The sequence below is a fragment of the Homo sapiens genome, chromosome 5 (genome assembly GCF_000001405.40).
Source record: "Homo sapiens chromosome 5, GRCh38.p14 Primary Assembly".
Taxonomy (NCBI): Eukaryota; Metazoa; Chordata; class Mammalia; order Primates; family Hominidae; genus Homo; species Homo sapiens.
In genome coordinates, this window is record NC_000005.10 from 128857781 (window position 1) to 128882581 (window position 24801).

At 37.8% G+C, this 24801-nt stretch overlaps 1 long non-coding RNA gene across 1 annotated transcript in view, besides 1 other annotated feature; it reads left to right on the top strand.

The window, feature by feature from the left end:
• The window catches only part of LOC105379168 (uncharacterized), a 273909-nt gene that overhangs the window by 195924 nt on the left and 53184 nt on the right, over positions 1-24801 (top strand). The window lies entirely within an intron of this gene.
• Positions 12138-12692: an enhancer, noted in NCBI's record as "OCT4-NANOG hESC enhancer chr5:128205611-128206165 (GRCh37/hg19 assembly coordinates)". NCBI's record gives its function as "activates a minimal SCP1, AML or CMV promoter by ChIP-STARR-seq in naive H9 embryonic stem cells {active_cell/tissue: H9 hESC(naive)}" and the evidence as "EXISTENCE:reporter gene assay evidence [ECO:0000049][PMID:30033119]".

The following is a 24801-nucleotide window of genomic DNA, read 5'->3' on the forward strand; positions in this document are numbered from 1 at the left end:
AACTCTTTTTTTTTTTTTTGAGACAAAGTTTTGCTCTTGTTGCCCAGGCTGGTGTGCAATAGCGTGATCTCGGCTCATTGCAACCTCAGCCTCCAGGTTCAAGCGATTCTCCTGCCTCAGCCTCCCAAGTAGCTGAGATTACAGGCATGCGCCACCGTGCCCAGCTAATTTTGTATTTTTAGTAGAGACGGGGTTTCTCCATGTTGGCCAGGCTGGTCTCAAACTCCTGACCTCAGGTGATCCACCCACCTCGGCCTCCCAAAGTGCTGGGATACAGGCATGAGCCACCGTGCCTGGCCCAGATGTTAATTTTTAAAAAGAAGCATAAAACCTTATTTTATTTTTATAACAGGATAAAAATTAAAGAATCAAAGTAGCTAGCAGTAAGGGAAGGAAAGATGATGTACCTCATGAGATACCAGGCAGCCAGTATAAGGATAATTATGAAGACTATGGAGCGACCAGGAAAATGGTTCTGATAAACACATGTGCTCTAATTACAGTGATACAAGGAGACAAACATCTATGGATGACTACTGGAGATGAATACACATGTTTTGTTTGGGAGGACCAGTTGCAAGTAACATTTGCATAACTTCCAAGTATTGTTAATACTGTTGTATGATCTTTATGATAAAAGAGGAGAAACATGTTAGAGGTTATTAAAATCATTTTTTTTTTTAGCTTTTATTTTAAGTTCAGGAGTACATGTTCAGGTTTGTTATACAGGTAAACTTGTGTCATGGGGTTTGTTATACAGATTATTTGTTCACTCAGGTATTAAGCCTAGTACTCATTAATTATCTTTCCTGATCCTCTCCCTCCTCCCACCCTCCACCCTCCAATAGGGCCCAGTGTGTGTTGTTCCCTTCTATATGTCCATGTGTTCTCATGACTTAGCTCCCACTTAAAAGTGAGAACATGCAGTATTTGGTTTTCTGTTCCTTCATTAGTTGGCTAAGGATAATGGCCTCTAGCTCTATCCATGTCCCTGCAAAGGACATGATCTCATTCTTTTTTATGGCTGCATAGTATTCCATAGTGTATGTGTACCACATTTTCTTTATCCAGTTCAGCATTGATAGGCATTTAGGTTGATCCCATATCTTTGTTATTGTAAATAGTGCTGCAATGAACATATGGATGCATGTGTCTTTATGATAGAACAATTTTATTCATTTGGGTATATACCCAGTATGGGATTGCTAGGTTGAATGGTAGTTTTATTTTTAGATCTTTGAGGAATCACCACACTGTTTTCCATAATAGCTGAACTAATTTACACTCCCATCAACAGTGTATAAGCATTTCTTTTTCTCCACAATCTCGCCTGCATCTCTTATTTTTTGACATTTTAATAATAGCCATTCTGGCTTGTGTGAGAGAGTAACTCACTGTGGTTTTAATTTGCATTTCTTTAATTTGCATTGCAAATCCTAGGTGTAAGAAAGAGAGAGGTGCCCCTCCTATCTGGGGCTCAATGATATTGAGCTTTTTTTCATATGCTTTTTGGCTGCAAGTATGTCTTTTGACAAGTGTCTATTAATGTCCTTTGCCCACATTTTGATAAGGTTTTTTTTTCTCTTGTAAATGTAAGTTCCTTATGGATTCTGGGTATTAAACCTTTGACAGATGCATAGTTTGCAAATATTTTCTCCCATTCTGTAGGTTGTCTGTTTACTCTGTTGATAGTTTCTTTTGCTGCATAAAAGATCTTTTGTTTAGTTAGGTCCCATTTGTCAATTTTTGCTTTTGTTGAAATTGCTTTTGGCATTTTTGTCATGAAATCTTTGCCCATTCCTGTGTCCAGAATGGTATTTCTTAGGTTATCTTCAAGGGTTTTTATAGTTTTGGGTTTTACATTTAAGTCTTTAATCCATCTTGAGTTAATTTTTGTATATGGTGTAAGGAAGGGGTACAGTTTCAATCTTCTGCATATGGCTAGCCAGTTATCCCAGGAGCATTTATTGAGTAGGGAGTCCTTTCTCTATTGCTTGTTTTTGTTGACTTTGTGGAAGATTAATTTTTGTGGAAGATCAATTTGTTGTTGGTGTGTGGCCTTATTTCAAATCTCTTTATTGTGTTCTATTGGTCTCTGTGTCTGTTTTTGTACCAGAACTGTATTAGTCCATTTTCATGCTGCTGATAAAGACATACCTGACACTGGGCAATTTACAAAAGAAAGAGGTCTATTGGACTCACAGTTCCATTTGGCTGGGGAGTTCTCACAATCATGGCAGAAGGTGAAAGGCATATCTCACATGGCGGCAGACAAGAGAAGAGAACTTGTTCAGGGAAACTCCCGTTTTTAAAACCATCAGATTGTGTGAGACTCATTCACTACCATGAGAACAGCACAAGAAAGACCCATCCCCATAATTAAATCACTTCCCACTGGGTTCCTCCCATGACATGTGAGAATTGTGGGAGTTATTCAAGATGAGATTTGGCTGGGGACACAGCCAAACCATATCAAGTACCATGCTGTTTTGGTTACTGTAGCCCTGTGGTATAGTTTGGTGTTGGGTAGCATGTTGCCTTCAGCTTTATTCTTTTTTCTTAGGATTGCTCTTTTTTTAATTCCATATGAATTTTACAATAGTTTTTTCTAGTTCTCTGAAGAATGTCTTTGGTAGTTTAATAGGAATAGCATTGAATCTATAAATTGCTTTGGGCAGTATGGCCATTTTGACAATATTGATTCTTCCTATCCATGAGCATGGAATGTTTTCCCGTTTCTTTGTATCATCTCTGATTTCTTTGAGCAATGTTTTGTAGTTCTTCTTGTAGAGATTTGTCACCTCCCTGGTTAGTTGTATTCCTAGGTATTTTATTCTTTGGGTGGCAATTGTAAATGGGATTACATTCCTGATTTGGCTCTCAGCTTGACTTTTCTTGGTGTATAGGAATGCTAGTGAAAATAGTTTGTTTGTTTGTTTGTTTCTTACAGGAAAAAAGTAAATAAAAAGAAAAGGAATCCTGAGAAGTAGAGGTATCTAAAATGAATTACTTTTACTCGTTAACATCCAACTCTTGCTTGAGATTTCAAATATGTTTGGGCAAGTAACGAGTTTTCTCATTGATGAATTCTTGCTTAACAACCTTATAGAAATCTTTGGGAGAAAACTGGAAGGAAGACCTTAGGAAACTGAGTACAGTCAGTCAGATAAATGAATGATCCTAGAATGGCAGGAAGAAGCAGGGGAGAATGAAAGAGAAAAGGAGAGCCAGGAATTACTACTTATGAAGTACCTACTATTTGCTAGATTTCTTTAGCACACACATGAAACATTTAGTACCAGCTACAAAGGAGGTGCTCAATGCATAACTATTTTATTAGTTGTATTATTTCTGCTTCTATTAGCACTCTGTGAGTTAGATATTTGTAAACTCTATAATCCGTTCCACAAATTAAGGCTATGGAAGCATTCACATCGCCTTACTTTTCTTTTCTTTTCTTTTTTTTTTTTTTTTTTTTGAGACGGAATCTCGCTCTTTTGCCCAGGCCGGAGTGCAGGGCGCTATCTCAGCTCACCGCAAGCTCCGCCTCCTGGGTTCACGCCATTCTCCTACCTCAGCCTCCCAGTGGCTGGGACTACAGGTGCCCGCCACCACGCCCGGCCAATTTTTTGTATTTTTAGTAGAGGCGGGGTTTCACCGTGTTAGCCAGGATAGTCTCGATCTCCTGACCTCGTCATCTGCCCGCCTCGGCCTCCCAAAGTGCTGGGACTACAGGCGTGAGCCACCGCGCCCGGCCTCTCCTTACTTTTCTTATGTGCCTTATTATTAAGAAGACCGGTATCTCCCTTGAAATCCTCCCCTTCTCTTGAATTGCCCTTTACCACAGGGACAAGGAGGGACAGTGAGACTGGCTTTCCTAGAATGGCATTGTTTCTATGTAGAGCAGTATTTTGTTTTGTTTTGTTTTCTGGGAATGAGTGAAAATTATGAATGCAGGTCTCTCTAAAAACACATATATTCATATAGGAGAAAAATAGTTTGCATCATTTCAAGAAGTCTACTTTGGCCTTCAACCTAGAAACACCTGATCTGGTGATAGTGACAGCAATTATACATCTGGTATCCAGTGGCAGTGAGCTCCAATGATGTAGATGACAACTTCACTCACAATGTAAGACTTCCCATTTTTTCTACCTCTCTCTCCTCTGAGGATGGACCCCAAAAAGGTCAGAAAGCAGAGCAAGCATGTTGAGGGATGAGAAATCCTAGATGGAAGAAAGAGAGAGGTGCCACTCCTATTTGGGGCAGAGGAGAGGATTTGATCACAGGTCAAGCACAGTTTTGATAACTTTATTTGGGACTATATATCCTAATATCATAATTGAAACCTGTTTGGGACTTAAAGTGATCAAACCATTTTTAAAAAATGGAGTCCTTTCAGAAAAAGAGTTATAAGCCAGGGAATTATTGCTCCACTAAATATGTTTTAAAGGACAACAGATGACAATAATACATCTGCATTTTAGCATACATTATTTTGCATACTCATAATAAACCAATGAGATAGGCACCATACTGTCTCTAATTTATGAATCAGCAAACTGAATTACAGAGGAGTGAAACCACGTGCCTGAGGTCACATAGCTCATAAGTCTTATTTTATACCTAAGCAGTTTGAATTCAGAGCTGGTTTCCTTAACCTCAAGTATCTTAATAACTTGGATTAATTTTCATTCCTGAGAAATCTGCCTCCCTTTTGGAGAGCTGATTGGTACATCACTGAGGCATATTCCACATAGAAGACAGAGTGGACTCAATGAGAATACCCGCAGAATGGCTGCCTAGACATTTTTTTATGAGATCATTATCCCACTTAGGCTCTTGGGCCCCACTATGTCTCCACAGAAAAACACATTAGATCCAAATGGAATGATTGTATTTTGGCCATTGTCTATTTAGGACAAGCAATGTCCTGTAAAACATTATTCGGCTTCCCGGAATGTTGGCAGAAACTTAGCTAAACCGATAATGCTGTACCTAGACATGTATAGCTAGTTTGAATATTTGACTTATTTAGATAGAAATATCTTGATAAAAATTTTATTCCTTGAAAGCCAAGCTGTATAAACATTCTGAAAAATTTAGGCCATTCTGAGACATTTGAGTCTATTAGTTGACTTTGAAGTACAGGATTTCGTATACCATATATTATGTGCTTACTTACATGTGTAAAACCCAAGCAATTTTCTTTAGACTCTCAGGATAATTATCTCCTATTTTTCTCTGGCATCAACCAAAATTCCTAAACAGTAGGCAAAACCTCATTCGATGTCCTGTTGTGTTTTTCCTTGTTCAAATTCCTGGCTAGGCTGTGAGCCCTATGAGAGTAAGGACCCAGTCGCTCTTGTTCCTGTCTGCATCATGAACGTTTAAGGGAGTAGCTAGCACAGGGTAGGGGCTCAGCAAATATTTTTGAATGAATAAACAAAGAAACTAGAATAAAGGTTACTATGCTGTGTTGGTTAATTTTATGTGTCAACTTGTCTAGGTTACAGTGCCCAGATGTGTAGTTAAACATCAGTCTAGATGTTGCTGTGAAGACATTTTTTAAGATGAAATTAACATTTAGATTAGTAGACAGAGTAAAGCTGTTTACCTGCTATAATGTGGGTGGGCCTCATCCAGTCTAATGAAGGCCTTAAGAGAAAAGGCTGAAGTGCCCCCTAGAAAGAAGGAATTCTGCCTTCAGACTGCTTTTGGACCCAGTTTGCAACAACAACTCTTCTGTGGGTCTCCAGCCTGCTAGTATGCTCTGCAAATTTGAGCTTGCCAGCTCCCATAATTATGTGAGTCAATTTCTTAAAATAATCTATCTATCATCTATCTATCTATCTATCTATCTATCTATCTATCTATCTATCTATCTATCTAGTGAGTCAATTTCATAAAATTAACTATGTATCTATCTATCTAGTGAGTCAATTTCTTAAAATTAACTATGTATCTATCTATCTATCTATCTATCTATCTATCTATCTATCTATCATCTATCCATCCATCCATCTGTGCATGTGCATGGATGGATACACATGCACATGCATGTGAAACAGAAACACAATTGGTTCTGTTTCTCTGGGGACCCTAATACATATGAATTTTATTTTTATTAATTTCTAGGATAAAATAAAATATTAAAAGGTCTACCTAATGTCATTCAAGAGGATGGCTTTTAACTTTTCGGTAGATATGGCTGCAGAGCTTCCAGTTCAGCTGGGGTTGTTCACATGGAATCAGAGTTCAGGCTATCTGTTCATCATATTCTTATTTTTTTTGCCTAGACTGTAAATACTAGCTTCCTGAGTTGTGAAAGGAAGGGTTAAATGAGCATTCTTACATCTTGTGAGCTTCTTCTAGCAGCCAAACCACCAACTTGTAGTTCCAGATTACAGATCCAATCTGTTGCATATGAATGATAACTTTGGCTGTATTGCTGTGTTCTCAAGCCAATCTTTCAATCATTTTATTCTCTAATCCAGTTTGTATGGCTATACCTGGCTAATTCACCTTCTAATTTCCATATCAGCAGCCAATTATGTGGATTGTTCCACTATAGCCAAAAGATTTGAGTCACTTTATAGCATTAAAGGTAAGTGAAACCAAATCGACTCACAATCAAGGCTTATTGATTAAATTTCAACATTTGAAAAACTGTGTGTTTTTTTTCCTTTTTTTTTTTTTGGACACAGAACCCCCTTTACAGATAGAAACGAGGCAATGACCAAATACAGAAGAGAGTGTGGGTTAATAATGTTTTTTTTTTTAAAGCTAAATTGTCTAAGAAATGTTTCTAAATTGAGTGCTTAAAATAGAAAATAATTCTTCAACTCAATGGAAGGATTGAAAATGTTGCCAAATCCTTGTCATTTTCACCAACTGAGAACCAGGAGATTAAATTAAGAAGACCATACAAATGTTGAGGCTTCGTGGATATTAAAAACAGCCTTGAGAGAAATGACCATAAAACATAATTTTGAACTCATATTGGATGGGGGACACTGGACAGGTTATAGAGATGTGGTGTATGGCACAGCATGCATTTCGGCATGAGTTTGTTGGGACTGAATGGTGATGAGTAAACCATAGGAACAATGAGATGGAAGGGAAGATTTAGAGAGTAGGGGATGACAGCTTAGAGCATTATCAACAAGAGGCTGGAAAGTGATTCAAATGTCAGAGATAGCGTGTATCTCCATTTGCTGGTAATCTAATTGGCTATACCATACATACACATTCATTAGAACTTTGTATTTAATATTTCTAATTGCTCCATCTGACAACATATTATCTAAAACAGCAACATGGAGCTTCCCCTCCAAATGCACCTGCTATACCCAAATAAGCCAGTAATCAAGGTGTTGCTAGTTGCACATGTCCCCTTACTTGAAAATTGACCTTTGTATTTTGGTTAATATTTTATATGGCATCTCTTCCAGATTCTCTGTTGTAAATAGGATGCTCCTCTCTCACTGACAAATCCTGATAAGCTTTCTTCTTCCCAAATAATTTCATGACGTACATAAAAGTTTCTATATTTCACATGGTTTTGGGAGTTTGCCCTATATACCAGCTCAGCATAACTAGTCAATGAGTAATGCTCAAAGCCTAAGATGCTCCAGAGGTGTCACCAGGGCATCTGCAAAGAGAAATGAGGTTGTTTGGGTCTCTACCTTTTATTTCAACCAGAGAGCTTGGTTTTTAAGCTTGTTACACTTCGATGACTAATTTTTGAGTTTGTTTGAAGAAGGCTTCCACTGCTCACAAGAAAAAAAACGGAAAACTGATGTTCTAGGCTATTTTCTTTCTCCGATTCTGACCTGCACCCTTAACATAGGGAATAATATAAAGTTCTGCATACAAATTCAGGGGAATAATTTCATTTTCAAAGAGGAAACATAGCCAATTTACAATTTTATTTGTGTAATACTTGCACATTTTATAAGTCTGTTTCATGACACTGAATATGAATACTCAACAAATAAGGGTTTTCTCAGTTAAATTTGTATCTTCAAAGCTTTGTGAAGGTATGTTCATTTCTGCTTCATTATCTGTCTGTCGATTGTTTGAAGAATTGGTATCTTTATATAAATCTTTTCTCTCCATGCTCTTGCAATGTTATATTGCAAATGAGTGTCTTGTGACAAGGCAGTGTATGAGTGAAGGAAAAAACTCATTGAGATTTGACATGTAATATAACCCTTATATTTTTTATGATTCTCTCAAAAGTAACACCTGTGGTAGGCAGAATAATCCCCCCCTGTCTGAATAATGGTAGGCAGAATAACAGCCCCTCAGATGTATACATGTTAATCCTTGGAATCTGTGAATATGCTACCTTACTTGGCAAAGGGACTCTGCAAATGTGATTAAGAATCTTCAGGTGGAGCAATTATCCTGTTATGCTAAATCATCTGAGCGAGCCCAGTGTAATTACAAAGGTCTTTATAAGGGGAAGCTGGAAGATTAGAGTGAAAGGAAGATTTGTAAGTGATATGTTGCTGGCTTTAAAAATGGACGGAGGGCCCATGACCCCAGGAATACAGGCAGCCTGCAGAAACTGGAAGAGGCACAGACACAGATATACCCCTAGAGCCTCCATGGAGTAATGGAGCCCTGTGGACGCCTCCATCTTAGCCCATTCAGACTGATTTGGACTTCTGACATCCAGAATAGTAAGATAATAAATCTGACTTATTTTAACTCACTAATTATCTGGTAATTTGTTATAGCAGCAATGGAAAATAATACAATACCCACCTCGTAATTGCAAAAACTGGATGGGGAGATGGCATTTAGTATTGGCAAAAAATGCGAAGAGGTGGGAAGCTCGTGTGCTGCATGTGAAAGTATAACCTGGTATACCTATTCTAAAAAGCAATTTGGAAGTTGAAATGGTTTTGCTGTGTCCCCACCCAAATCTCATCTTGAATTCCCATGTGTTGTGAGAGGGACCCAGTGGGAGCTAACTGAATTATGGGGCCAGGTCTTTCCCATGCTGTTCTTGTGATAGCAAATAAGTCTCGTGAGTTCTAATGGTTTTAAAAACAGGAGTTTCCAGCTGGGCGCAGTGGCTTATGCCTGTAATCACTGCACTTTGGGAGGCCGAGGCGGGTGGATCACCTGAAGTCAGGAGTTCGAGACCAGCCTAGCCAACGTGGTGAAACTCTGTCTCTACTAAAAACATAAAAATTAGCCAGGCGTGGTGGTGGGTGCCTGTAATCTCAGCTACTCAGAGGCACGAATATCGCTTGAACCCAAGAGATGGAGGTTGCAGTGAGCCAAGATTGTGCCAATGCACTCCAGCCTGGGTGACAAAGTGAGACTCCACCTTAAAAAAACAAAACAAAACAAAACCCAGGAGTTTCCCTGCACAAGCTCTCTCTCTCTTTGCCTGCCACCATCCATGTAAGCTGTGACTTGCTCCTCCTTGCCTTCCCCCATGATTCTGAAGCCTTGCCAGCCATGTGAAACTTTAAGTCCATTAACCCTCTTTTTCTTCCCAGTCTCAGGTATGTCTTTAGCAACAGTGTGAAAACAGACTAATGCAGTAGTGCTTAGTGAAATTAAATATGCATTTGTTCTATGTTCTAGATTTTCTCCTCTTGTATACATATTCCAGAGAAATATTCTCATATAGTTCCATAATAACAGTCATGTTCAAGGATTTTTTTACAGTAGGATTTATACTAGTGGGAAGTTGAAGAAAACCTAGGTGCTTATCTCGAAGGTAAGAAATAATTGAACTGGTAAAATACTGTGCATCCATTAGAAATGGTGAGCCAAATCTATATATCAATATAGTTAGATCTTCTAAACAAATGTTACATGAAAAAGGTAAAAACATATTTGTTTCTCAGGCTACTTATATAACAAAAAACAGCATTGCTTTATTTATTCAACTGTTGATTTCTATTAGTATGGACTTACAGATATTTATTTTACCCTACGGGTTACAATCTATTACTTTTGTTATTTATTTCTTGTTCAAATTGTTCTATTTTTGACCGTTAAGAACTCTTCCAAATTGGCTCCTGTGGCATATTTATCTTTAACTGAATTAAATTACTTATATCTTTAGCATAATCTTTTCAAGATATTTACTCAAAATTTGGTCGTATTACAAAAAGATAAAAAAGAGGAAGAAGTAAAACAAAACATTTGGCTTAGTCTTAGCATGGTTTTGGAGAAGTAACAATGTTTAGTGTTCTATGCCACTGTAGGATGACAGCAGTCAACAACAAAACATAGTTTCAAGTAGCTGGAAGGAGGATAGTGAATGTTCCCAATACAAAGAAATAATAAAAATTTGAGATGATAGATATGTTAATTACCCTGATCTCATCACTATACATTATATATATTAAAACATCACTATATGCCTCATGAATATGTACAATTATTATTTTTCATTAAAAAGTAAAATTATACCTAAAAACAATAAAAATAAATTTTAAAAGATAATCAAATGAAATCAAATGCTTAACCATGATAATATTACATCTCCCTCCTTGTGTGTTAAGTTTTGTCTTTAATACCTTGAGGACTTTTAACACATTAAAGGCTCATCTGTGGGTCTAGGTGAAACAGTGACAGACATCCCTATGGAAGACAGAAGAGGGCACGTTATGGTGACCAAGGGCTTGCTTAGAAGCACAGGTGAGCCCAACCCCTGATTCCCAGAAATAACTCTCTGTATGTGTGTGTGCACACTGGGCATGTAGCCATGTAATAATTCTTACATGCAGCCATGTAAGAATGGCTAAGGTGAAGGATGAAGGGTGAAAGTTCCTAAAGCTGACCAGTCAGGAAAGAAGCAACATTAAGCAAAGGTTAACAGTGTCTCACATAGCTAACATAGGCTGACTCTAAACATAATGAAAGGACTACACTAGAAGATAACCAACTTAGGGTCTAGAAATACTCTTTTGACTCACTCCCTCCACCCCCATTGCTCGTTTCCTGGTTTTTGATCACTCCCTCCTCTCTGAGCACTCTTTTCCCTGGGTTTCCAGGACACCACATATTCCACGTCTTGCCCCTGCTCCCCTGATTATTTGTTTTCAGCTTCTTTTGCTGGTTCCTTTGCCCAGCTTCTAAATGGTAAAGTGTTCCAGGACTCAGTCCTTGCACCTCATCTCTTCTTTGTCTACATTCCCTTCGTTGGTGATTTTGTTCCATCTCAGGGTTTTAAATTTCACCTATACACTTATAATTCCCAAATTCATATTCCCAACCCAGGCCATTTCCCTGAGCTCTACAATTGTATATCAAATTGCCTACTCAATATATTCTTTTGGATATCTAAGAGGCATATGAAAATTGACAAGTCAGAACTAAACTGTTCTCTTTCCCCCACCACACTATTCTCTTCTACCCCTAAGTCCTTTCCATCTCAGGAAATGTCAATGCCAGTTGCTTAAGTCAAAATCTTTTGAAATATCCTTGACTCTCCTCTTTTCCCAAATCCCAGAAGCAATCTACCAGCAAGTACTCCTACATTACACCTTAAAAATATATCCTGAATCTTTTCATTTCTTAGCACTTCAATCTCACCACCTACCTGAATTATTATAATAGAGTCCTAATTGGTCTCTTTGTTTCTCCCTTCATACCCCTGGAGAATGCCCTCCACAAAGTCATATTTTATGCCTAAGGCAGGTCATACTCACTCTCATGCTCAAAATGCTCCAAAGTTTCCTACAGTAAATGCCTATCCTTACAATGGCCCAAAGGCCTACTACACTGTGTGCCCATCCACTGCCCTTTACTTCTCGGATCTCATTTCCTCCTAGTCTCCAGCTTACGCTGACTTTGCTTCTTTCTTGACCCTACTAAGGGCATTCATCCCTCCAGAATTTTGCTCTTGCCAGTTCCTCTGCCTGGATGCCCTTTCTTGAGATGGGTACTACTTCCTCCCCTCTTTCAGATTTTTGTTTATGTGCCACCTACTCAGGGATGTCTTCCACCATAATTAATTTGCAACTACTTTTCACACCAGGAATTCACTCTCTCCTTCTCTTCTTTATTATCTTTCATAACATTTATGACTACCTAGCACACTATGTATTTTACTTTTCTGTTAATTTTCTGTCTCCCCTCACCAGAAAGTTAGGGATTTTTGTCTATTTAGTTTACTATTGTTTCTATTGCACCTGGAACACTGACTGGTACATTGTACCTCTCCATTATAGAGCAGCTCAATGTTTGTTGAGGCTGAATACATGTTAAAATGCCACTCTTTGGAAGGGGTTTTCCTCTCCCTGCACTGGTATTAGCCTGTGGCCAAGGAGGGAGGTATGGGCTTAATGGCCAATACAGCCACTAGGCAGGGTCCAGGAAAAGGTAACAGATTGTCAGAAAGAGGAAGCAGGCAAGCACCAAAGAAAACCCTTGCCTTCTCTTCCCACTGTTTATGCAGACAATGCATTCCAGAGGCTACTGTGATGGTCTGCAAGCGATTTCCAACTGAGCTTTATTTCAGCTAAGTAGCCAAGGGTAATCTGAATAAAAGAAATAAGGCAAGTTATTCACTTTCTAATTGCTACTTGCACAACTTTTTCCTAATTGCATTTTCCATAGACAATTTGTGCCAAAATGAACATTCCACTAATGATGCTGGCAAGACAGTTTGTCAAACACTGACTCTTAGTGAATGTTACTATACAGACCTTGTTCTGGGCTCTGTTTTAGGTCCAAGAAATTCCACAGACATTCAATTTAGGAGGCAGTCAAATCTCATTCACCTACTTTTAGTATTAGCCTTGGCAGAGTTTGACTCCAAAGTGGCGCTCCCTCTCATTACTGGGCCCCTGCACATGAGTGAGTGTATGCCCTTGGAATGCTGGCAAAAATTTTAATCTAAGAAAAACGACCAGGAGACAAAAACTCCTGCAAAATTACCCAGAGAGCATCTCAAGTCAAATATAAATTTTTAATTTTCATTAACTGCCCTCGTGCGTGATCAGCACCGAACTCCACTTCTTCAATGACACAGGAGAGCTCAGTCTTCAGCCCAGGGGTCCTGAGTTGAGTTGCTGGGCTTGTTCTGAGATGAGTGTCTTAAAGTCTGAGAACTGACACTTCACACGTCCTCTATGCCAACCGGTATGATTTAATTGAGGAATTTTAGACCCATAGAGAGACAGGAACTTTTGCAAGATGTGATGGAATCTAAATGGAACTTGGAATCACACAAAATTGGGAACAAAGGAGAGTTCCATCAGAGAATGGCATTGCACTTATTTGCTAAACTCCTCTGCAATTAATTTTACTGCGCTATTAAAAGGAGAGATAGCCCTGGCCTGTGGTTTTGAGGAGTAGTAAATGAGACGTGCCTGGAAAGAGCTTCATACATTGCAGTGCCCTGTATTTTTCTTCTTGCTCACTCGGGATCACACAGTAGTGGGCTGGGCCAGACTTAAAACATAGTTCTGTCTTTGAGTTCAGTGTTTTATTCCTATCACCTTAACTTTGTTGCAAGTGGAGAAACTACAGGGCAGAAAGGGTGTGCACCCACCTCTTCCCCCCTTCTATAGGACCCATAAAAACCACACTGACACTGCCCAGAGAATGGAGAATGATCACTTTGCAAAAGAGATTTCTGGGATCTCTGCAAAGGTCCCAGTCCTTTGTCCTGCTTTCATGTTTGCAGTGAGCTCTCACACTTGCCTTTCTGAGGTTGAGAGGGAGTTTATCATCCAGAATAAGAGATAGGAACCGGATCAGATTGCTTAGGTTCAGATACTAGCTCCACCTCTCATTACTTTCATGGCCTCAGTCAAGTTATTTCAGCTCACTCTGCCTTTGTGACCCCATCTGTAAAATGGAGATAAAAGCAATACTTACCCTATTGGGAGGTATAGATATGTATACAGAAAACACTTAGCTAATAATATTACTATATTATAAAGAAAATCAGTGTATAGGTAGTGCATGTAATGTTACCTAGAGAAGACATGCATCATGGAATACCAGCACTAGACTTGTTTGTTTATGTGGATTTGTCTTGGTTTGGCAGACTTTAGGATACTGTCCATCTTCACAAAGTTTAGAAGTCCTGTCTTATTCTTGGGTATAAAGCAGCAACCCTATATGGACTGCTAAGAGAGACTGACACTTAGCTCTTGCTCCTCCCTCCCCTGCCCTCTCCTCCTCTCATCTCCACTTCTCTTCCATTCTCTCTTCTTCATTTTCCTTCGTCCTCTTCCTTTTCCTTTCTCTTTCCCTCCCTGTCTGTCCATCTGTCCCTTCCTTTCTCAATCTCCAACCCTTCCTGCCTTTCATTATCTAATAAAAAGCCGGATTGTTTTTTCCTTGGCATCCTACTCATCTTCATTTCCCTACACCTTGTCCTCCCTGCCCCTACTGTTCCCTGCAGTCTCGCAGCATTTGCAGGAAATAACACGTGTGTGTATGTGCATGTATGTGTGTTCTGTCATTTCTGTGGTGACATCAAATTACAAATGCTTGCCAAAGCAAAGCCCTGCCTTCTTTATTCAAAATTTGTACCAGGTGACAGAAAAGTCCATAGTGATTACCTGGGCATCCTCACAGTTACCATAACATCGAAAACTTGATCTTTGTTCAAGTGAAATAAAATCTGGAGAGCCTGGAGAGATAAAAGCAAAAAGTCCCTTGGGTCTTTGCCAAAATGACACTCTTGTGCTTTTTTCATTACTGATTCACAGCTCACAGTGGACAGTTTTCTTAGCATGTTACACACATCATTATATAAATCCACCAGTAACATTTTAAGTTCCATAAGCAAAATTCTTATTATATTATTAGCTACTGAGGCTCCTCTAGGTGCCCTTAGACTGTTTCCTAACTCTGAACCCTAGGCCATTTTCCTTATCATCGTTTGTTATTGGGAAGTATGTTAGCCATGCAAGAAGTTAAAAAGGTAATATGTACATACCACCTGTCAAAAAACATGACAGATACAGCCTCTTGCCTTACTGTCAATTAATAAGGCTATGGAGACTTTTGTTTACTTATGTGTGTGGCTTTTTAAAAAACTTTTAACCTTCAGTGATGTGTTTTAAGTCTATTTCTAGAATAGATAGTTCTTCAATTTAGCTTAATCACACGTATTTGTTTTTTTCTACTATCACATTTTGTGCTTTCCACTTATCTTGCTATTTTTATACTTAACATTTTCTCCATTTAAAATCTTGTTAGAATTGATCAATATTTTCTTATTCTTTACTATGTTTTATTGATTTAGAAGCTAAATATTTTAGTTTTCTTTTTTATATTTGTTTTTAAATTTTCACTTATGTATAATTGAGAAAGTCAAAAGCAAATCAATAACTTTATACTTTCTGAACAGTATCTTAGAACAGTATTTTAGCTTTGAAGTTTGTCCACATTAAGTTAGTTCCTGAACCAATTTATCTGTTAGTCTTATAGTTTTTATAATAATTACTTGTATACATAAAACCACAAATTTATCAATTCCTTTGCTTATCATTACTTCTTCCTTAGCTTTTCCTTTCAGGGAGAATTTAGAAATTTGCAGGTGAAGATCTTTTGGTGAAAAACATTCTCAATATTGTTTTTTAAAAATATGTTCTTAATTGTATCCTGCTTCTTGAAAGGTAGTTTTAAAAATTTTGGTATAAAATCTAGCTTGACAATTATTTTTCTTTAGCACTTTGGGTTATTATTCCTCTTCTACTTCCAACCTTTTTTTTAAATTTTAGACTGTCTTTTTCTTTATGGCTGTTATTAAGATTTTATATCTGTAGCATATTCTGGTTTAATTATCATGTGTTTAGGCATGGATTTGTTCATATTTACCTCGCTTGTGATTTAGTGTATTTTGTGAGCGTGATGATCCATGTCTTACATTACTCCAGAAAATCCTTAGCCATTATTTGTCAATATTGCTTTTCATTTATCACCTGTGCTTCTTCTTAAGACTCAAACAAAAGGTATATTGGCCTTTCTCATTTTCCCCCCATGTCTTTTAATTACTTTTTTATGTTTTCCACATTTTATTTTATATATTCTGCATTATGGGCAGTTACTTTAGAATTATAATTGAGTCTATTATATCTGTTCTCTGTTGTGTCTAATATTGTATATTAACAACTCCTTTGATTACTTAATTTTAGTGACATACTTTCTTTTTTATTTTGTAGAAATTCTATTAAAGTTTTTTCAAATCAGCCTGATACATTTTGAAGGTATCATATTTTTTTCATTTATTTTCATTTATTTAAACAGCATTAACACTTTAATGTTACTACTTATTGATGATTCTGCAGTCTACTTTGAAGTGTAAGTGTGCTATTTCTTATATTTAATGGCTTGACCATGACACTTTACATACCCCATGTCTTATCATTTGGGGCTATTATGCTTATGTTAGAAAGAAGGGAGAACTTTATTTAAGGAAACTTCATGTGGCATGAATTAAGGGTGTGAGTCCCTGGAGTTATTTTATGCTTTCTTCTGCCAAGAGCATTCCTAGACTGGATGGCCTGACTGCTTTCATGCTATTATGCTTCTGTATTCCCAGACCATACAGGAGCATGCATTTGATGCGAAATATGCTTAAGAGCACACCTCTGGTTACAAATTCTTAGAGGAGATCTTTTCACTTGGAGCCTAGGCCAAAAAGGACAAGCTTTCTCTGCTCATCTCCATAAACTAGTAGATGATTTTTGTCCTTAGACTTCTTCACAAAGGGTGTAGCTCTTTGATGGTTGTGGCTTTATCCAGGCATTTTAGTCAGTTCCTCATCTTGCATAATCTCAACATTTGTCTCTTATGCCCTGATGACAGTTAAAAACCTAAGACCCTTCCATAGTTTGCCACCTTGGCTTTTGCCTCCTTTGTATTTCTTCTTAGGGAGGTTCCCTTATTTTCCTGAGTGAGCAGATATGGATTTAAATGTATGTTTGTTACATATTTTCATTAGGATGACCATTACCAAAAATCACAAATAATAAATGTTGGTAAAGATGTGAGGAAATTGGAATCCTTGGGCATTGCTGGTCGGAATGTAAAATGCTGTAGCCACTACAGAAAACAGTATGGAAGTTCCTAAAAAATTAAACATACATTTACTATATGATCCAGAAATTTCACTTCTGGGTATATGATATAGTTTCGATGTTTGTCTCCTCCAAATCTCATGTTGAAATGTAATCTTCCATGTTGGGGGTGGGGCCTGGTGGGAGCCATTTTGGTCATGGGGGCAGATCCCTCATGAATGACTTCATGGTGGTAATGAATGAATTCTTGCTTTGTGAGTTCATGTGAGATCTGGTTGTTTAAAAGAGCCTGACACCTCCTCCCTCACTCTCTTGTTCTCACTCTTGCTGTGTGATACACCGGCTTCCCTCTTTGCCTTCTGCTATGACTGGAAACTTCCTGAGGCCTCACCAGGAGCAGATGCAGCCACTATGCTTCTTGTACAGCCTGAAGAACCATGAGCCAAAATTAACTTCTTTCTTTACAAATTATCCAGCCTCAGGTTCTTTCTTTATAGCAATGAAAGAACACATTATCACAGTATATACCCAAAAGAATTGAAAACAGGGATTTGAGTAGATATTTGTTCACAAATGTTTATAGAAGCATTATTCACAATAGCCAAAAGGTGAAAGCAATCCAAGTGTCCATCAGTGGATGAATGGATAGACTAAAGGTGACATGTACATACGTTGGAATATTATTCAGTCTTTAAAAGGAAAGAAATTATGACACATGCTATAACATAGATAAACCTTCAAAACATGCTAAGTGAAACAAGCCAGTCACAAAAGAACAAATGGTTTCAATTATGTGAAGTATTAGAGTAATTCAATTCATAGAGACAGAAAGTTGAATGGTGTTGTCAGGGGCTAGGGAGAGGAAAGAGGTGGAAGTTTTTGTTTATTGGGTGTGAAGTTTCTGCTTTGGAAGCTGGAAAAGTTCTGGAGCTGAACAGTGGTCATGGTTTCATGCTAATATGAATGTATTTAATAGCACTGAACTGCACACTTAAGAATGGTTAATTTTATGTTGTGTACATGTTACTACAATTTAAAAAAACAAATATTTTTATTACGTTTTACCCAGCATAATTAGGTTTTATAATATCAGAACGTTTTCCAGGTTATTTGAACTTCATTTTTTTTTTCAAAAGAGGCATTTCTTTAATTATTTTACCTTTAGGACTTTTAAGCTTTTATTCTACTCCAATGTGTTGCTTAGATAAGTAAGTAAGAGAACAGAGAAAATGAAACGGGAGGCTTTGTTACTACATAGAGAATTCTTGCTTTCATTTAGTCTTTTTATTGGTAGAGTAGTTGTATTGTACAAATATAACAGGATTACAGGGATTTCAAGGCTCCAACATGGGAAGCAGAGTAGAGCCTGACTGCATAAGAAATGGAACTGGCATTAAGGCAGCCCCATGTTCCCTCACCCTGTCTCTCTTCTTCGCATGTGATTTTTTATTCTAACAATTATCCCATTATCTTTACTTTTTCATTCACTTCAGTTTGTTGTAAACCATTTTAATTGACCAGGTCCTATTTGCCTGATGAAAATTCATTATGTAATATTTTGGCATCTGCCCTTCCTAATAATTGCTGCAGGACCTTGGCTTCCCAATTTCAAACTTCTGAAAGGAATTTGATGTGCTGATGATTTTGAGTCTAATCATCTGGGCTAGATATGTTCATTAACTAAAAATAAACGCATAAGAATATTTCACTTCCCTGGCATCAATGTGAAAACTCAGTGTTCCCACTTCCCAGTGAAACTGGTGGAAAAAAACTTTTTTAAACCTCAACCATTTTAATTAAGCTTTTAGAAATGATTCCAAGGGCATTTAGCAAATGAAGACACAGTTATTCAAGAAAGCCTACTACACCCTGGTGAAAGAAAACAGTGAGAGTGTTTCATTTGAATGACAACCTGCTTCTTCCTTCCCACCATCCCAGCTTGACATGATGGAACTGCACTCCAGATGGCCACTGCCAAGAACACAGGGCTTTCTCTTCCCCTACCTCCCAAACAGAAGTCTATGCTATCTTCCAAGGAGGGGAAGAATATCAGCATTTCTCATACTGCTCCCAGATACAAGTTACAGAGGCTAAGTTTTAAGCAAGTATAGCCAACAGTTGGGGGCTCTTTTTTTTCCAACTAACCTCCACTGATGAGACATAAGGTTTACCTGGGACAGTTGCAAACACTGGAGCCCTCTCATCCCTGTCCTGGCTCCTAATGTAGAGGTTCTAAGCCAGGAGGGGCAAGCTGAGACCTGAGCCTACTGTACTCAATCCCTACCTCCCTGCTAAATGCCAGATCCTAAAGCAGGGGCGTCACTCAAAACAAGTTGTCACTTTCTCTGCCCTGAGCTTCAGAGAGGATAAGAGATTTTGCCCAGGGAGAAAGACAGGTCATAAAACGCTCTCCCTAAAGCCACTGACTTCATTTGCAATAGAATGTGAGAAAGTTCAAGCCTGAAGGGTACTCTACAAAGTAATGGTTGTTGTGGTAAAAAGCGATTAAGAGGAGACTGACCAATATATTAGGAATATAAGTTAAACCACAGACCAGCTAGTTTACCAGAGAAAATTAGTGAAAGTTAAGAAGAGTTAAGACAGTTAAGAGCTGACTTGAGGTTGGACCAAATCTGAAACACTTACCTCAAAAACTATCCCTACAAAGAAATTTGAATTTAATTAGACCATCCGCTGAACAATTTATGCCACAGGGCATTGTTGAAAACAATAGAGCAATCAATTGTAATTAATGGGTCTTAATAGCTGGTTGTGGCTAGAGAAAGACACAGTCAAAGAAAGCCCTGCCAAACCACTGTCATCCCAGAGTGACCATGCCTTCCCAAGGCTGCTCCCTTTAGGAGCAACAGTAGAGGTTTCACTGTGGCGATGCAGGGGATAGACTTCGCTAAAGGAATCCAGCCAATCACTAAACAAATAGGCAAACAACAATAGCAAGGCCCAGATACAGTGGTGGGGCGGTGCATTTGCTATAATGTATTACTGAGATGTCTTTTTTCCAGCAAAAATTCCCAAGACATAACCCCACCTCAAAAAAAGAGAGAAAAGTCTGACCTATACATGGGGAAAAAAATAGCAGACAACAAGACTGTCTGTGAGAGCAACCAGATGTTGGATAAATATGTTCAAAAAACCAAAGGCAACCATGCTTAAAGATGTAAAGGAAGATACGTTGACAAGGTCTCATAATAGAGAATACCAGTTATAGAAATTATGAAAAAGAACCAAATGGAGTTAAGAAATAAAATAATTCCAGAGTCTAGTAAAATAAAAAATGCACTGAAGAGATTCAACAGTAGAATTGAATGAGTGAATAAAGAATAAAGAATGAGTGAACTTGAATTAGATCACTAGAAAATATGCAACCTGAAGAACAGAGAGGAAAAAAGATAAAAACAAAACAAAACAAAACAAAAAACAACCCCAGAGAAACGTGGGACACTTTTAGGTGCACAAACATATGCAAAATGAAAGTACCAGAAGACAGAATTGAGCAGAAGAAATAATGACTTAAAACGCCTCAAATTTGACAAAAAACGTGAATCTACACATCCAAGAAGCTCAATGTACTCTAATTTTCTCATCTAAGAGAGTATATCTTACAGGCACAAACAAGGTGCTCTCCATCAGCTGTTATAAGGAAGTTTGGAAAAGGCAAACAACAATCCATATCTCTGGTAGAATTACTAAGAAATGAACTCAATTTTTGTACTAGCTAATACAAATTTATTAGATCACAACAGCAAAAATTTTTCATTAATGAGAATCCTGAAGTTTTACAAGACCCTAAAGTACCTTCAAAATAAAACAAGATTAAAAATAATTAGTGATGATTTAGTAAAGTATGTTTTATTTTGTTTTAGTTCCACCTACTATAAATATTATAATTTATTAATATATCAGTTTTGTTGACTTAAATCTTTGATTAATATGAATTATTAACACATGCCATATAATAGAGCACATAGTGTACTAGCAGTTTCTAAACTAATCCTTCATCCCTCAGATGAAGAGTGTGACTTACCTGTAGACAATTAAGGTTTGAGAGGTTTTGAATGTCCTCCTACCCCAAGTGTGCTTCTCCCAAGACTTATTTCTTCTAGTCAAGGTTTTCCAACCTCCAAATGCAAGTGGAAGAAGGATTCTATTTAAAGCTAAATTAATTCTTTACATTAACTTGAACGTGCTAATGTTATACTTTCCTTAAGGTAAGCAGAGAGATGCAGGAACCCAAGATACCTAAGAGTCAGGAAGCTTCGAATAGGGCACAGCTTGGGAAGTGCTCACAGGTATGAGATTCAACCTTGACAACTTTTAGACTTTATCTATGTCCTGCTTTTGCAGGGGCTTTGGAAAATTGATTACTTTTCCTTTTAGGTGAAATAATTCAAATTTGCTAAACTCACTTGCCTCTTCTTTAATCCACAAGTATTTTTGAATAACTACAGTTTGAGGTAATGACAGAAACCCCTATAAGGAAAAAAATGATGTTCTGTAGTGAGCCATATGCCAGAATTATAGAACAAATATTAGCCCTGAGACCTTTTGGTTGAGAGAAAACAAGTGTAAGCACTAAGGGCTTAAATTTCTTTCTTTTTTCTTTTTTATCTTTTTCTTTTGAGACAAGGTCTTACTCTTTCACCCGGGCTGGAATGCACTGGTGCAATCAAGGCTCACTACAGCCTCAACCTCCTGGGTTCAATCAATTCTCCTCTCTCAACCTCCTGAACAGCTGGGTACAGGTGTGTGCCACCATCCCCGGCTAATTTTTGTAATTTTTGTAGAGACAGAGTTTCACCATGTTGCCCAGGCTGGTCCTGAACTCCTGTGCTCAAGCAATCCACCTGCCTTGACTTCCCAAAATTCTGGGATTACAGGCGTAAGCCACCACGCTTGGCCTTAAGTGCTTATATTCTAATGAGTTAAATGATCCACATTCTCTTGTGGATAGTAGCAGGATAGGATGCAAAATTGCAGACTTTATTACAAGTCTGTAATCAAGTCCCAAGAATGATCTGTTGTGAGGCAAGCCATGAGACTCCATCTACTACATTGCCTTAGGAAAGTGCTGTGGTAACAGCAACTTCACTCCTTTAACTTAATCTCAGCATCCCTGACTTCTGGAGCACAAAAGCTAAACAAAAAAAGGGATGAATATTATTTTTCATTAATTCATAAAGTCTGTTGGAAAATATATTTTAACAGAATAAAACTATACTGTGTTCATTAAAACATGCTTGATTTAAAAAAAGAAATTTTCTTTTAACTGAAAATGGACAGAGGAGGGACACTTATCAAACCTCTGGTTGCGAGAAGAGTCAAAAAGGCTGATTGCTGAGCCCCACATTGCAGCACAAATAGAAGACAAGAAGGAGTAATGGTGGGGTGGAGACAGTTGTCCAAACAACAACAAAAAAGCAAAATTCACAAAGTCCAGGGATCAGAGTGATGATAATATATAACCTTGTATGATAGAAGGTAGCAGTGAAGACAGTCAACATCATTGAAGAATATGGAATAAGAGGAAGAAGGGGTTGAAAATTCCAACTATTAAGAGATGTGGCTGGAGAAGTCAGTCAAAGATTCTTCTATATTCTAGCAAGAGGAGATAATTGTCTCAACTAAAATAGAGTCAGTGGGAATGATGAGAAATTAAGGAATCCTAGAAATATTAACATGAGGTAAAGGTGAGGAAATGCAGTGCCTTTTATAGATATAGAAGAAAAGACCGAAGTCAAGCATTTGTCTCAGTATCCAATTTAAGCAATAAGGAGCTGGTATTACCAGTCTCTGAAATGGTGCTACAAATGCAGAAGTATGTTTGGCAAATGTGGTCAAGACAGATGATGGGTGGAGGCAGAGGCTACTGTTGATGCAAGGTAGGCAAGCCTCAAATTGGGGCTTAGCTCAGGAGAGTTCTTGGCTTTGCTCAGGAAAGAATTCAAGAGCAAACTGGTGGTAGAAGAAAGCAGCTTTACTGACATGGCAGTGTTAGAGCTTCATGACTGCTCCTGTAGAGCAGGGCTTCCTCGTAGACACTGTGTTGACAGCAGCAGCTCAAAGGCAGTTCTGCAGTCATATTTACACCGACTTTTAATTACATGCAAATTAGGGAGCAGATTATACAGCAATTTCTAGTAAAAGAGTAGTACATTCCAAGTTGTTGGGTCATTCCCATGGAAAGAGGCAGTAACTTACAGGTCTTGCCATGGCAATGGTAAACTGACATGGCACACTGCTGGGCATGTCTTATGGAGAGGTGTTTCTACCATTTCTCCCTTTTATCTAGTCCTCAATCTGGTCTGATGTCTGAGCCCCACCTCTGGAATCACGTCCCACCTCCTACCTCACCATTACTAACAATTCTACACATTTCAGTTCATCTTTACATGACATTAATTTGGGAATCCTTTTTTCTTTCTAGTCTCCTTTGTACAAAACTGAACACTTTTCTCTAAATAAAATTTGGATAAGAGAAAATTAGAAACACTCCCATAGTTGCTATTTGAGAGGTACCCACTCCAGTTGATCAGAGTATGTCCATAGCTGCGAAATAGCCTGAGAAATTTAGACGAAAACAAAGCTTGTTACCTGAACTATCCAGATAATCAAAAATTAAATATTGAGAAACATTTTTATATTATCCCAGCAATGACCCTAAAGCCTTTCTTTGTTTGATTAACTAATCAAAGCAAAGCTTACATGATTTTATAGCAAACAATGAATGTTTAAAATCAATCTCATTTAACTTTAAATAAAAAGAATTGGTTTTCTTTAGTGACTATAGTTAGAACATGTTTTAGATCTTCAGTCACGTCCAAGAATATCCAATAACACTGACTAGGATCCAGAAAAAAGCTTTTTTTTCGGATACTCTTGATGGTAAGTTAACTTGATTCTCTTAAGAACTGCCTTGGCTATTTTCAGAGTGTGAGTTAAAATGTCTGAAGTTTGAAAGGAAACAGATCATCCTCGGAAATCACTTTGGATGACAAGGAAACTTTAACATTAACATTCAAACCACATCAATCATGGGGGTGGAGAACTACTACTAAGCACCATATGAAAATAGTTGGGCAGTTTCCAAAGACAGAGAGAAAATCTATAGCAAGCACCGCAATGTTTAGTTTTAGGGGTGGGGTTCTTTCTTTTAAAACACTTTTAGGAGCTGTAAAAAGATACATTTCCTTATATATTGTACTAGCTGATTTTTTTTTCTACACTAGCTAAGAATAGAACCATTGGGAAAAGAGCTGTGCTGTCTTTAGTTGTTAGAGGATACCTATACTGTTGAATAAGAGAAGCGTATATTTCTTGCTCCAAAAATTACCATCTGACAGTCTATTTTGTATAATGAAATTTCACCACTAGAAATTATTTTTCTGAGGATATTTACAAATCATTTGATAATTTTTTAATGTTGCCTTTATTTTATTTTACTTTATTTTTTATTTCAATAGATTTTTGGGGGAACAGGTGGTGTTTGGTTACATGAATAAGTTCTTTAGTGGTGATTTCTGAGATTTTGGTGCACCCATCACCAAAGCAGTGTACACTATACCCAATGCGTATGTAGTCTTTTACCCCTCACCCCCTCCCATCCTTTCCCTGGAGTCCCCAAAGTCTACTGTATCATTCTTATGCCTTTGCATCCTCATAGCTTAGCTCTCACTAATGAGTGAGCACATACAATGTTTGTTTTTCATTCCAGAGATACTTCACTTAGAATTATGGTCTCCAATACTATCTAGGTTGCTGC